Raw genomic sequence first — 14,763 nt, 5'->3', positions numbered from 1 at the left:
CAATATCATACATAGATCACTCTTATACTCAAAAGTATCTTAAAAGGACAAATAAGTGTTTTTGTTATTGAAGCAGGTCAAGTTTGAGTAGAACATTATAGATTGGAATAGAATATTATAAGTTAATGCATACCTTTTGCAAATAAGAATTAAAATAAGGCTGGGCATGGTAGCTCATGCCTATAATCCCAGCACTTTGGGAGGCTGATCTGGGTGGATCACGAGGTCAGGAGATCAGGACTGTCCTGGCCAACATGGTGAAACCCCATCTCTACTAAAAACACAAAAATTAGCTGGATGTGGCCGGGAGCGGTGGCTCACACCTGTAATCCCAGCACTTTGGGAGGCAGAGGCAGGCGGATCAGGAGGTCAGGAAATCGAGACCATCCTAACACGGTGAAACCCCGTCTCTACTAAAAATACAAAAAATTAGCTAGGTGTGGTGGCGGGTGCCTGTAGTCCCAGCTACTCGGAAGGCTGAGGCAGGAGAATGGCGTGAACCCGGGAGGCAGAGCTTGCAGGGAGCTGAGATCGCGCCACTGCACTCCAGCCTGGGCGACAGAGCAAGACTCCGCCTCAAAAAAAAAAAAAAAAAAAAAAAGAGCTGGGTGTGGTGGCATGTGCCTGTAATCCCAGCTACTCAGGAGGCTGAGGCAGGAGAATTGCTTGAACCCAGGAGGCGGAGGTTGCGGAGAGCCAAGATCGCACCACTGCATTCCAGCCTGGTGACAGAGAGACACTCTGTCTCAAAAAAAAAAAAAAAAAAAGAATTAAGACAAAATTATTAGGTAAAGGTAACTATAGAACAAAGAATGTTCCCCCTAAAAATACAATGAAATGAAAGTTCTAAAGATAGGATCATCTAAAAGGGAGGGAAAAATTAAAACAGACTAATTCTCACAAAAAAAAAAAAAAAAAAAAAAGCCGGCCAGTTGCGGTGACTCATGCCTGTAATCCCCATACTTTGGGAGGCCGAGGAGAGCTGACCACCTGAGGTCAGGAGTTTGAGACCAGCCTGGCCAACATGGTAAAACTCCATCTCTACTAAAAATACAAAAATCAGCCGGGCATGGTGGCGCGCGCCTGTAATCTCAGCTACTCTGGAGGTTGAGGCAGGAGAATCGCTTGAACCCGGGAGGCAGAGGTTGCAGTGAGCCGAGATCGTGCCATTGCACTCCAGGCTGGGCGACAAGAGTGAAACTTCATCTCAAAAAAAAAAAAAAAAAAATGGAACCAAGTGCAGTGACTCGTGCCCGTAGTCTTGGCTACCTGGGAGGCTGAGGTGGGATCACCTGAGCCCAGGAGTTAGAGGCTGCAGTGAGCTATGATTATACCACTGCACTCCAGCCTGGGTGATAGCGAGACCCTATCTCTAAAAAGAGAAAAAAAAAACAACATGGAATAAGGTTATACTTGTGAAAATTTTAGGTTTTCAGTTTGTGAGATTGATTTTTGTTAATGGCTTTATTTATTTATTTATTTTTGTTATTATTGGAGATGGGCCATGCTGTTGCCCAGGATGGCCTTCAACTCCTGAACTCAAGAGATCCTCCTTGCTTTGGCCTCCCAAAGTATTGGGATTACAGGCATGAGCCACCTCACTTGGCCAATGACCTTTTTTTTTGAGACCGAGTCCCATTCTGTTGCCCAGGCTGCAGTGCAGTGGCATAATCTTGGGTCACTGCAACCTCCACCTCCTGGGTTCAAGTGATTCTTGTGCCTCAGCCTCCCGAGTAGCTGGGACTACAGGCGTGTGCCACCACGTCCGGCTCATTTTTGTATTTTTAGTAGAGATAGGGTTTCACCATGTTGGCCAGGTCGGTCTCGACCTCCTGACCTCAGGTGATCCGCCTGAGTTTGACAGCAAAAGCTGTTCTGGAACAGACCAGAGGCACTAGAACTGCTTCCTTCCCTGTAAGCTACAATGAAGTGAGAACAGGCTGCCCCCAGTTTCTCCCTGCACGGGTAAACCTCTGTTTGTCAAATGGAATGCTGGCACAGATGTGAACATTTTAGTTAGATAATAAAGTAGGTACGCAAGTTCTTATAATCTATGGAAAAAGAGAAAAACATAATTATCTTTCTACTTAATCACATATTTGTCATGTGATATCTTGGCATCCGTCTCTGCTGGCAGAACAGGCAATCACTTCAATCATTTTAAGTCGGTGAGGTCAAAAGGGCCTTGAAGGAAACTCTGAATGTAAATCTGAACTTATTTCATACGTTAAATTTAATCCTCTATGCTCTTAAAACTATCTGACATAAGCTTGTCCCTTAATATATGAGTGTCCTTGTTCAGTAGTGAAAAATAGGCATTGTGCCCTGATACTTGCAATTATCCAAAGATCTTTAAAGACCAAATATGAATAGATGACATTTAGCGTGATGACCGACTTTTTAAAATAATTTGCAACTGGCAGAATGACTATCTGCATGACTTTTAAACAATTCAAGTTTCTAAAAGGGCCAAAGGAAATAAATAAACAAAATACAATTAAAGAGCCAAAGGATACTCCAAATAATTAAGCACTAGAAATAAACTTTAATCATAAAGTCCTATAAAAGCCAATGTAATGATTAAAATACGCCTCTCAATATAGAAACTTCATCCTTTCTGTAATTTAAGATTAAAGAGCTATGCTTTATTTTAAAATAGCAGACATTATTATGACGACACTCACACACAAGATTCAGCTATTCCAACAATAAGACAAGCCTGAATAAGGCAGCATATGCCTTATTCTCTTAAATTTTCTTCTCTTAAAAAAACCAATAACTTACCAGCTTGTTAAATACAAGTATCCTCTTTCCTGAATGATTTTCAAAAATTAAGAAAGTCTGGGCAATGTAAAGTCTCAAACAGATATGAAATGAATGAACACAAAGGCAGGCACGGTCGGATATGTAAATATACTAAGTGACCCTGGATAAGAGCTGAGAGATGCTGGATGCGGTGGCTCACACCTGTAATCCCCACAGGTGAAAAGATTGCTTAAGCCCAGGAGTTCGAGACCAGCCTGGGCAATATCGTGTCACCTCATCTCAATTTTTAAAAAAAGAGCCATGACAAATGTTTTTGAAATAGAGTCTCACTTTGTTGCCCAGGCTGGAGTGCAGTGGCACCATCATAGCTCACTGCAGTCTCAAACTCCTGAGTTCAAGTGATCCTCCCACCTCAGCCTCCCAAGTAGCTTGGACTACACGTGTTTGCCACCCATGCCCAGCAAATTAAAAAATTTTTTTTGTAGAGATGGAGCCTCACTATGTTAACCAGGCTAGTCTCAAATTCCTGGACTCAAGTGGTCCTCCTGCCTCAGCCTCCCAAGTACTGGGACTACAGGTGTACACCACCATGCCCAGCTAACTTAAAAACAATTTTTTAAAAATGTGTAGAGGCCAAGTGTGGTGGCTCATGCCTGTAATCACAGCAATTTGGGAGGCCAAGGTGGGTGGACCACTGGAAGTCAGGAGTTCAAGACCAGCCTGGCCAATATGGTGAGACCCCATCTTTACAAAACTTATAAAAATTAGCTGGGCATGGTGGTGTGTGCCTTTAATCCCAGCTACTTGGGAGGCTGAGGCAGGAGAATGGCTTGAACCCAGGAGGCGGAGGTTTCAGTGAGCCAAGACTGCGCCACTGCACTCCAGCCTGGGCGACAAAGCTAGACTCCATCTCCAAAAAAAAAAAAAAAAAAAAGTGTAGAGATAGGGTCTCGTTATATTGCCCATGCTGGTCTCAAACTCCTGGCCTCATGTGACCCTCCTGCCTTGGCCTCCCAAAGTGCTAGAATTACAGGCATGAGCCACCACAATGCACCAAGAGACATTTTTATATGGGGTCTAGGTAATGCCATCTGGACCAGAAATGGTCAGCGTGTCAGTTCAGAATGGCTTCTGGGGTGAGGAATGCTCTAGGGTGGCGTTCCACTCTGTGCAGCGATCCACCCGTTTGCTTTTTAATAAAGCATATCTGCCCAAGTCATAACAACTGGTTTTGTTTTTAAACAAAACCTTTGCCTCAGAAGCCGTCCTCAGTATAAACACATCCCTGGAACCTAATAGAGCCTCTATAATTAAAGACTCAACAGTCCATGCTGTGATGAAAAGAGGGAACCATTGGTCCTAAGGAAGATTTCTGTTAGCAAACATGCCTTTTGGATTAATAGTAGGTATGGCGTGGCTTCCATCACCCTTTGTATTTCCAAATACTGGCATGCATGCTCCGTGGGTGTTTACAGATGTGAACGTTACTCACCTTGCCGGGGAGTCATGTTGTGTGCCACAGATGCTTTCTGAACAGGTGCACCCAGATTTGAGGCGGACAATTCTCTGCATTTTGGAAGGCTTGAAAATACTCATCCACTCCACGTCAGACATGTGGCCTGGGGCTTCAATTATGAAGTTACTCGGGTGGCAGCACTTGGAGTCACACATGCCACTTTCGCCCAGACAGGCTTCATTTTTCTGGCAGCATGAGATTTCGGACCTTTCCATCTGATCTTGACATTCTACATCCAGCTTTTCTGGATGTTTTGAACTTGGACAGTTGGTCAGGCCCAGGTAAACACTGACATCATGCCACTGCTTCTCATCAGATAAAGTGGGTGTTTCTGAGGGTTGTTTTCCTTCGTTCTGAACCCCAGTGCCATGACATTTTGGTGATTTTGTGTGGATCTTGCACAATGTAATTTTGTTTTCGGGTTCAATCTGGGTTTTTCCTCCCAGAGACCAAGGGAGGTTGTGTTTCTCTACTAAGTCTTTGGTGAATATGGATGACAGCGTAATTACACTTTTCTCCCCAAACACAGTATCGATCTGTTGTTTCTTCTCTTTGCATTCATCGCAAGAGCTCTTGTCTGACCTATTTTGCTGAACCAACATGGCTTCAAATTTCTGGTCCTTAAACAGTGACTTCTGATTTTTTTCCCTCTTAATATCGACTTTTGGGTGGTTATTTTCAAGGTCTGATAAACACATGTCTCTGCTATGGTGGCATTAGAAAAAAAATGGAGGTTATAAGATATACTTGATGCTATCATTCTAAACATTTCACCCAAAACTCAGTAGAGCTAAATCCCAATGAGACTCGTTTGTCTGAACCTCAGAGCCCAATTCCAGCCCGACCTTCTCCAGGAATCCTTTCTGACCACAAAGCCCACATTCCCTTTTCCATCCTCCTCTTATTGCACTTACTGTCTACATGAGAAAAAAAGAATACTGCAGAAATGTGACAAAACCTTTTAATAAATCTTCCTTTAAAATTTTTCATGTCACTTGTATTCAGGTATTCTAATCTGCATCATTCTGATATCTTAGGAAATACAACTCTCTCTTTCCATAATGCTATAAACTATTTTATGCTTAAAAAAAATTTTTTTTGAGGCCGGGTGCAGTGGCTCACGCCTGTAATCCCGGTACTTTGGGAGGCTGAGGCGGGTGGATCACCTGAGGTCAGGAGTTCGAGACCCAGCCTGACCAACATGGAGAAACCCCATCTACTAAATATACAAAAATTAGCCGGGCGTGGTGGCGCAGGCCTGTATTCCCAGCTACTTGGGAGGCTGAGGCAAGAGAATTGCTTGAACCTGGGAGGTGGAGGTTGCAGTGAGCTGAGATCGCGCCATTGGCACTCCAGTCTGGGTGACAAGAGTGAAACTCCATCTCAAAAAAAAAAAAAAAATTTTTTTTTTATAGAGACAGGGTCTTGCTATGTTGCCTAGGCTGCTCTTGAACTCCTGGCCTCAAGCAATCCTCCTGCCTTAGCTTCCGAAAGCACTGCAATTACAGGTGTGAGCCATGGCGTCCAGCCTATTTTTAGCTTTTAAGGAATAACCTCAACTCATCTAGTACCTCCTAGAGGCAATGAAGGTCAAAAAGGAGAAAGACAGCCTTCGCAACACGACGAAACCCCATATGTACAAAAAAAAAAAAAAAAAAAAAAAAGTAGCCGGGCATGGTGGCGCATGCCTGTGGGCCCAGCTACTTACTTGGAAGGCTGAGGTGAGAGGATCGCTTGAACCCAGGAGGTGGAGGTTGCAGTGAGCTGAGGTTGCACCACTGCATGCCAGCCTGGGCAACAGAGCAAGACCCCATCTCAAAAAAAGGAAAAAGAAGAAAGAGCCAGTATGTAAGGGGCTTCTGCCTGCAAGAGAGCTCTGAGTTAGTCTGGTGTCTGGTGGCAGCGGCAGCAGCTAGGACCCAGAGCCACAGGCCACAACCCCTCGCAGAGGGCCCCAAAGGAAAGTGAAGCAAGTGCAGCGGAAAGCAGGGCGGCCCCAGCCACACGCCACACGCCTGGGGTGATCCCTGCAGTGCTGCAGCTACTAAGCCCTGCTGCTCTCAACTCCATTCTCCCAGGGAAAGTCGCTGCTGCAACCCAGTCCAGCCTCCATGGTTCCAAACAGCCATGGGGAGCTTCCCTAATCCCTCTCCCTTTCAAAGACTTCTTGTAAAATTTTGGCTTAGAAAAGTAGACTAAGTTGAGCTGTGGTACAGTTATATGCCTGTTAAATTAAACCACACTTTATATGTTTATATTTTAATTTTACCAAAACCAATTTAATTCCCACACTGCTTGTTGTGGGGATGGGAAGATGTTTCCTATTAATAAGGCAAGCAGGAAAATCCAGTTAAGGGCACAGATCACCCTCGGTGGAGTGGGGCTCCTACTCAGTAATCAATGCATTCCTTGGCATTACTTCTTTTGGGCGAGTGCCATGCCCTATATACCTACATGTGCCCAAGTCCTAGCCTAGTGTCCAAACACTGAATGCTGGATGGATGGATGGACGGATGGATGGATGGATGGATGAATGAATGATTCATCTCTGTAGTGTCTATTCTAGCTCAAAGCCTTCTACACAACAGAAGGGAAAATCAGGTTAAATAAATTTACTTCTATCCAGTGGCTAAATCAGGATCATGACTAAAATTCTTAGATTGGGTCTTCCTGCGACTGAGGATTATGACAATCATTATTAGCTCACACACATTTATTGTATTTATTTATTATTTATTTATTTATTTTTCATACGGAGTCTCACTCTGTCACCCAGGCTGAAGTGCAGTGGCGCAATCTCAGCTCACTGCAACCTCTGCCTCCCGGGTTCCAGCAATCCTCCTGCCTCAGCCTGCCGAATAGCTGGGACTACAGGCGCCTGCCACCATGCCTGGCTAATTTTTTTGTATTTTTAGTACAGATGGGGCTTCACCGTGTTAGCCAGGATGGTCTCGATCTCCTGACCTCGTGATCCACCTGCCTCGGCCTCCCAAAGTGCTGGGATTACAGGCATGAGCCACCGCGCCAGGCCTATTTATTTATTTTTTGAGACGGAGTTTGGCTCTTGTCACGCAGGCTGGAGTGCAATGGCGCGATCTCGGCTCACTGCAACCTCCACCTCCGGGGTTCAAGTGATTCTCCTGCCTCAGCCTCCCAAGTAGCTGGGATTACATATACCCGCGAACACGCCCAGCTAATTTTTATATTTTTATTTATTTATTTATTTTGAAACAGAATCTTGCTCTGTTACCAGGCTGGAGTGCAGTGGCGTGATCTCGGCTCACTGCAACCTCCACCTCCCAGGTTCAAGCGATTCTCGTGCCTCAGCCTTGCAAGTAGCTGGGACTACAGGCATGAGCCACTATGCCTGGCTAATGTTTGTATTTTTAGTAGAGATGGGGTTTCACCATGTTGGCCAGGCTGGTCTCGAACTCCTGACCTCAGGTGACCCACCTGCCTTGGCCTCCCAAAGTGCTGGGATTACAGGTGTGAGGCACCGTGCCCGGCCACATTTATTTCCTACCATATGGGGAATAGTAGTCAGTACTGGCCAACAGTAAGTGCGCAGTAAATACTGGCTGATGGAATATAATACAAGATCATATTAATTGCATCTTGCTAAGATTACCTGGAGTCCAGAGCCTTTGATTCCTCCATCTTTGAGTCATACATCTGTATTAATTCCTGAGAATTTTCCACATTGAAATTAAGAAACTGCAGATCACTCTGTTGTTTTACATAAATCTGTCATAGATATTGACAAATCAACATGAAATGTAATAACAAAACTAAACTGAACCAACAATTTGGCACTTTCCCTGAAACAGTTCACAAATCCTAAAACAGGTCAGATAGTTACTAGAGAAATATGCTAAATATGTCTGCTTTTAATTTTCCTTTGTTAGCACTAAGATTTGCTAGGATAGCTGGGCTCCCAGCCTTTGATCACCACAAGCAAGACCTATTTGCTATACTAAACATGATATACAGGCTGGGTGCGCTGGTTCACGCCTGTAATCCCAGCACTTTGGGAGGCTGAGGTGGGCGGGTCATGAGGTCAGGAGTTCGAGACCAGCCTGGCCAACACAGTAAAACCCTGTCTCTACTAAAAATACAAAAAATTGGCTGGGCGTGGTGGTGGGCACATGTAATCCCAGCTACTTGGGAGGCTGAGGCAGGAGGATCGCTTGTAACTAGGAGGTGGAGGTTGCAGTGAGCCGAGATCAGGCCATTGCACCCCAGCCCGGTTGACAGTGCGAGACTCCGTCTCAAAAAAATAATAATAATAAAAATAAATAAACATGATATACAACTAATGTAGTTAGGATTCCAAATCACCAATTAAACAAAATCGACGGGCATACATTTTTCCTAATTTGCTATTTGTTTACAAACATTTCTTATGTGACAGAGAAGGATGATTGGGGACATACCTGTCTCAGATTGTGCAGTTCTGAATTTGTGCGTTCTTGCTTTGACTTCGCAATATTAAGCAATTCATCTTTCCTCTTTTCTCTCTCTACTATTTAAGAACAAGTATTATTAACATTTTTCATCAGCTATAGCCACACAAACCTCTCCATTTCCAACAATTTAATGCTCAGCTAACATTTTTGTTGTTGTTGTTCCTGTACTTAAAAATAGCAGAATGGGCTGAACGAAGTGGCTCACACCTGTAATTGCAGCACTTTGGGAGGCTGAGGTGGGTAGACCACTTGAGGTCAAGAGTTCGAGACTGGCCTGGCCAACATGGTGAAACCCCATTTCTACTAAAAATACAAATTTAGCCGGGTGTGGTGGTGCCTGCCTGTGGTCCAGCTACTTGGGAGGCTGAGGCAGGAAAATCATTTGAACCTGGGAGGTGGAAGTTGCAGTGAGCAGAGATTGCGCCACTGCACTCCAGCCTGGATGACAAAGTGAGGACTTTGTCTTAAAAAAAAAAAAAAAAAAAGAAGAAGTGATTTGTAGATTCAGGGATTATTTGTCTTTCCTTTTGTGGGGAGATAGAATAAGGATGATTTCCAAATCTCTATACTTAATACATATTACTTCAATTATTTATTTAAAAATTTTAAAAGATAAAATATTTTTAAAAATAGAGATGGGGGTCTCACTATGTTGCCCAAGCTGGTCTTGAACTCCTGTGTTTCACCATGTTAGCCAGGTTGGTCTCGAACTCCTGGCCTCATGTGATCTACCCGCCTCAGCCTCCCAAAATGCTGGGATTACAGGCATGAGCCACCATGCCCGGCCAAAACTGAGACATTTTAACAGTGGAAGTGATATCCGTAGTGCATCTGACTCCGTGGGTCTCAATTCTACATGCCTTTCATGTTAACAGCATCCAAGCAGGGTTTAAATAAACCTGTTTTGTTATATTTCCTAATGTTTAAATAAACCTGTTTTGTTATATTTCCAGCTACTTTGGAGGCTGAGGTGGGAAGATTGCTTGAGCCCAGGAGTTTGAGACCAGCCTGAGTCAACACAGCAAGACACTGTCTCTTAAAAAAAATAAATAAATACTTGTTTTGGATACAGCATGGTCCCTAAACAAAAGCCAACTACTTTACCTGGCCCTCAGAGTAATTTTAAATATATCTGAATGTTGGCCAGTGGGGTTGTCGGGGGGCGGTGGGGGAGGGCAGGTGGTCAAAGAAAAAAAAAATATATGTATATTTGAATGTTGCCTTAATCTCTGATTTCAGAATAATCTACTTTTGCATAAGAGGCAATGCCAATGTAAATATAAATGTTTCCCTAGTCCAGATAGTTTTCTCCATGGCTGGGTTTAGCTGAGAGATCAAAGTGGATTGGGTCTGACTATTTTCACAAGTTGGCCACAGAAAACAGAGGTAAGGAACTCTCTGCTGCTATCTGCCTGAACAAGCAGCCTAAGCTAAAACAATGGGAAGGGACTTAGACGCCTGGAACCTGCTGAATTCTGATCAAGACTCTGCCTTTTACCGCCTGGGAGACCTGAGGCAGACACTCAGTCTATAAGAGCTCACCTACAGGACTGTCAGGACCCACAGAAATGTAAACTAGTATCATTGTTCTCTTTGCAAACTCCTTACTCCTAGTTATGTACAAGCAAAACATGTCCCTCAGCCTATGTAAAAGAACACGCCTGTAATCCCAGCACTTTGGGAGGCCAAGGTGGGCAGATCATGAGGTCAGGAAATCAAGACCATCCTGGCTAACACGGTGAAACCCCATCTCTACTAAAAAATACAAAAAATTAGCTGGGCATGGTGGCGGGCGCCTGTAGTCCCAGCTACTCGGGAGGCTGAGGCAGGAGAATGGCATGAACCCAGGAGGCTGAGCTTGCAGTGAGCCGCGAACACACCACTGCACTCCAGCCTGGGCGACAGCGAGACTCCGTCTCAAAAAAAAAAAGAACTGCATTTTCTACAAGTTTTAAACTTAAAAGTAAAACTTTAAGACATCTTCCAACTTCAAATAAAACATGGTAACATCTGACTGGGTGCGGTGGCTCACACCTGTAATCCTAACACTTTGGGAGGCCGAGGCGGGTGGATTGTCTGAGCTCAAGAGTTCGAGACCAGCCTGGGCAACACAATGAAACCACGTCTCTACTAAAGTACAAAAAATTAGCCAGGTGTCGTGACGTGTGCCTGCAGTCCCAGCTACTCCGGAGGCTGAGGCATGAGAATTGCTTGAACCCAGGAGGCGGAAGTTGAAGTGAGACAAGATCGCACCACTACACTCCAGCCTAGGCGACAGACCAAGACTCCATCTCCGAAAAAAAACAAAAACAAAAAAAATCGTGACATTTAGCCATAGCACTTGACGGCATATTATCATGTTATGCCCTTTAAAAATTCTTTTTTGGGCTTAAGCCAAGCACGATGGCTCATGCCTATAATCTTAGTACTTTGGGAGGCCAAGGCAGGAGGATTATCTGAGGCTAGGAGTTCAAGACCAGCAGCCTGGGCCACATAGCGAGACCCTGCCTCTACTAAAAATAAATAAAATAAAATAAAATTAGCTAGGTGTGATGACACATGCCTGTAGTCCCAGCAACTCAGGAGGCTGAGGTGGCAGGATCACTTGAACCCAGACAGTCGAGGCTGCAGTGAGCTATGATTGCACCACTGCACTCCAGGCTGGGCAACAGAGCAAGACCCTGTCTCTACTAAATAAATAAATTCTTTTGTAGGCTTTGTTCACTTTTATAATTGAAACATGCAAATCTATCAATTGTCTATATTTTGAAAAAGAAGAATAAAACATACAAAAATTGTTTTCAGACAATGGTGTGAGATTGTCTTTAGTTAAGAAGATGTTTAAGGAATCAATTTAGGATGACAGGCATGGTGGCTCATGCCTGTAATCCCAACGCTTTGGGGCTTTGGGAGGCAGAGGTAGGAGGATCTCTTGAGCCCAGCAGTTCCAGACCAGACTGGGCAACATAGTGGAACCTCATCCATACAAAAAATTTAAAAATTAGGCATGTGTGATGGCATGTGCCTGTGGTCCCACCTACCTGGGAGGCTGAGGTGGGAGGATCACTTGAGCCTCAGAGTTTGAGGCTGCAGTGAGCTGCGATTGTACCACTGCACTCCAGCCTGGGTAAAGAAATCTGCTTAGTATATGATAAAAATATTTCACAAAATCGATTTATTATAATATTAGCTAACAAATTCCATGTATTTTACTTAGTAATACATAGTAGAGTGCATGGGTAAAAAGTGATTAATCAAAAAGAAAAGAGACTAACGTATCCTTTAAGCTTTGTTCTTTCCTTTGACCTCCCATAGCATTTTATGCATAGCATTTGTATAGTAGTGAATTCTGTGGGCCTGTGAGCTTCTGAGCATATCGCAGGGCACCTGGCGTACAAATGCTGGTCCAAGGACTGTTTGAATGCAACTGTAAAGCTACAAATATGTGATATCTTTAGCAGCGTTAACGGGTTATCACTACTTGCAGATGCAGCAATCCTAGAAATGGTGAAAATAGTGACCTCTAGTGGCAGAATACCACACTTTCACCCCGATCTTTAATCACAAGAGATTAAAATTAAGAATTCCATTTCACTTAAAACTTCTTAGGTCGGGCATGGTGGCTCGCACCTGTAATCCCAGCATTTTGAGAGGCCGAGGCAAGGGGATCGCTTGATCCCAGGAGCTAGAGACCAGCCTGGGCAACATAGTGAGACCCCTTCTCTGCAAAAAAATTAAAAATTTAGCCAGGCTACTAGGAAGGCCAAGGCGGGAGGATTCCTTGAGTCCAGGAGTTTGAGGCTGTGATGAGCCTCAATTTTTTCCCATTAATTTACAGACAAACTGCATTCCATTCCCTGCCATATTCCTTACCTACCCCCAGTATCTCAGAGTTTCCACTGGTGAAGGCCTACTTCTCCACTCCCAACTGAGAATGACTGACATAGAGAGCTTGTTGACATCCCTGCCAGCCAAGATGATTCTACTGGGCTTTCTTTTCAGTGGTTTGTGTTAGGAAAGTCATTGATTTAGAGGTAAAGTTCCGAAGAGAAAATCATATGAACACTTTTTGGTCTACTGATACCTACCCTCAGTCCCCCTTTTACTAGGGGTACACATTCATTAAAAAACCCCTACTCTGAGCACCCATACAACCATTCTGTTTTTCGCTTTCAGTAAATTACATGATATATTCAACAATTTATTATAAAACAGCCTTTGTGTGAGATGATTTCGTCCAAATGCAGGCTAATGCGAGTGTTCTGTGCATGTTTAAGGCAGGCTAGGCTGAGCTATGCTGGTGGCTGGGTTGGCTTCATTAAATGCATTTTTGACTTGCGAGGGGTTTATCAGAATGTAACCCTGTAAGTCAAGGAGCATCTATGTTATGTTTTTAGTAAGAAGCAGAGTCACACGCTTAAGCTGGAAGGGAGAATAGCTCATTTTACAGAAGAGGAAATAGTGACTGGGAACGGGATGGCAGCATTAACACTCGCTGCTTGGTCCACCATCGGTCCCACAAAGGGTGTTAAAAACAAACAAAAAGGCCTGGCGTGATGGCTCATGCCTGTAATCCCAGCACTTTGCGAGGCTGAGGCGGGCGGATTATCTGAGGCCAGAGTTCGAGATCAGCCTGGCCAACATGGTGAAACCCCGTCTCTACTAAAAATATAAAAATTAGCCGGGCATGGTAGCATGCGCCTGTAATCCCAGCTACTTGGGAGGCTGAGGCAGGAGAACTGCTTGAACCTGGGAGGCAGAGGTTGCAGTGAGCCGAGATCATGCCACTGCATTCCAGCCTGGGCGACAGAGTGAGACTCTGTCTCAGAAAAAAATAAAAATAAAAAAGCCGGGCTCACGCCTGCAATCTCAGCACTTTGGAAGGCCAAGGCCCGTAGATCACTTGAGGTTAGGAGTTCAAGAAGACCAGCCTGACCAATGTGGTGAAACCCCGTCTCTACTAAATATACAAAATTTAGCCGGGCGTGGTGGCTCATACCAGTAACCCCAGCTACTAAGGAGGCTGAGGCAGGAGAATCGCTTGGGCCCGGGAGGCAGAAGTTGCAGTCAGACGAGATTGCACCACTGCACTCCAGCCTGGGTGACAGAGCAAGACCCTGTCTCAAAAAAGACCCTGTCTCAAAAAAAAAAAAAAAAAAACCATTTTGGGAGAGGTATAATTCCTTCAGCCTGTCATCATTGCAAGTCTAGGTTACAAATACATTCGATCATCTGTTTTACCAGTAAAAAGCAATTCATCGTGCAGGCAACTTTTCTCTTGCTTGAGGCGAATGATCTCTTCTCGTTGCTCATTATTTTCTGTCGTCTTTTCATTGAGGTCCTCTTCACAACAGAAGAAAAAGAAAGTCCTCAAATAAATACTAGGTTCCAGTCCTCATATACACACTATGCCTAACTCTCACATCCTCAGCGGCTCCTTCCGGTCCTGATGGATCTATAGACAAAATCTGTTTCACAGCCAACATCTCCACACCTGGCAAGGACCCCTGGTTGGAGGCTTCGCTTGCTCTCATCTGACTGACCTCCCTGCACCAGCCTTGCCTCTCCTGTGACAGCCCAGTGTACACAGAGCAATCTTTTAAAAATCAAAATCTGCCCAGCGCAGTGGCTCACGCCTATAATCCCAGCACTTTGGGAGGCCAAGGCGGACAAACCACTTGAGGCCAGGAGTTCGAGACCAGCCTGGCCAACATGGTGAAACCCCGTCTCTACTAAATATACAAAAATTAGCTGGGTGTGGTGGCACACACCTGCAATCCCAGCTACTCAGGAGCCTGAGGCAGGAAAATCGCTTGAATCCAGGTGGCAGAGGTTGCAGTGAGCTGAGATCACGCCACTGCACTCAACCTGGACAACAGAGTGAGACTCCATCTCAAAAAAAAGTAAAGTAAAATAAAAATAAAGGCCAAGTGCAGTGGCTCACACCTGTAATCCCAACACTTTGGGAGGCTGAGGCGGGTGGATCACCTGAGGTCAGGAGTTCGAAACCAGCCT

General features: G+C 44.6%; 1 protein-coding gene across 8 annotated transcripts in view, besides 1 other annotated feature; it reads right to left on the bottom strand.

Moving 5' to 3' along the window:
* The window catches only part of CCDC62 (coiled-coil domain containing 62), a 52,957-nt gene that overhangs the window by 21,418 nt on the left and 16,776 nt on the right, over window positions 1-14,763 (bottom strand). For 6 of the 8 annotated variants that reach the window (XR_944784.2, NR_027918.3, NM_201435.5 and 3 more), the window contains exons 6-9: window positions 13,990-14,091; window positions 8,716-8,804; window positions 7,911-8,026; window positions 4,259-4,987 (exon numbers count right to left, since the gene is read on the bottom strand). Coding sequence is in view for 6 of the 8 variants with exons in the window: in NM_201435.5 (NP_958843.2) it covers window positions 4,259-4,987; window positions 7,911-8,026; window positions 8,716-8,804; window positions 13,990-14,091 (1,036 nt within the window). In the remaining 2 variants the exon portion in view is untranslated. Of the gene's footprint in view, window positions 1-4,258; window positions 4,988-7,910; window positions 8,027-8,715; window positions 8,805-11,789; window positions 11,832-13,989; window positions 14,092-14,763 lie in introns of those variants that run through there. The other 2 variants (XM_011538856.3, XM_047429680.1) reach the window with 2 other exon arrangements.
* Window positions 10,163-10,363: a silencer, noted in NCBI's record as "peak2023 fragment used in MPRA reporter construct". NCBI's record gives its function as "represses an SCP1 promoter by STARR-seq MPRAs in K562 erythroleukemia cells {active_cell/tissue: K562}" and the evidence as "EXISTENCE:reporter gene assay evidence [ECO:0000049][PMID:32103011]".

Source organism: Homo sapiens, chromosome 12 (genome assembly GCF_000001405.40).
Source record: "Homo sapiens chromosome 12, GRCh38.p14 Primary Assembly".
Lineage (NCBI taxonomy): Eukaryota > Metazoa > Chordata > Mammalia > Primates > Hominidae > Homo > Homo sapiens.
The sequence above is the reverse complement of the archived record's forward strand: the minus strand, read 5'-3'. Positions and strand labels throughout refer to the sequence as shown.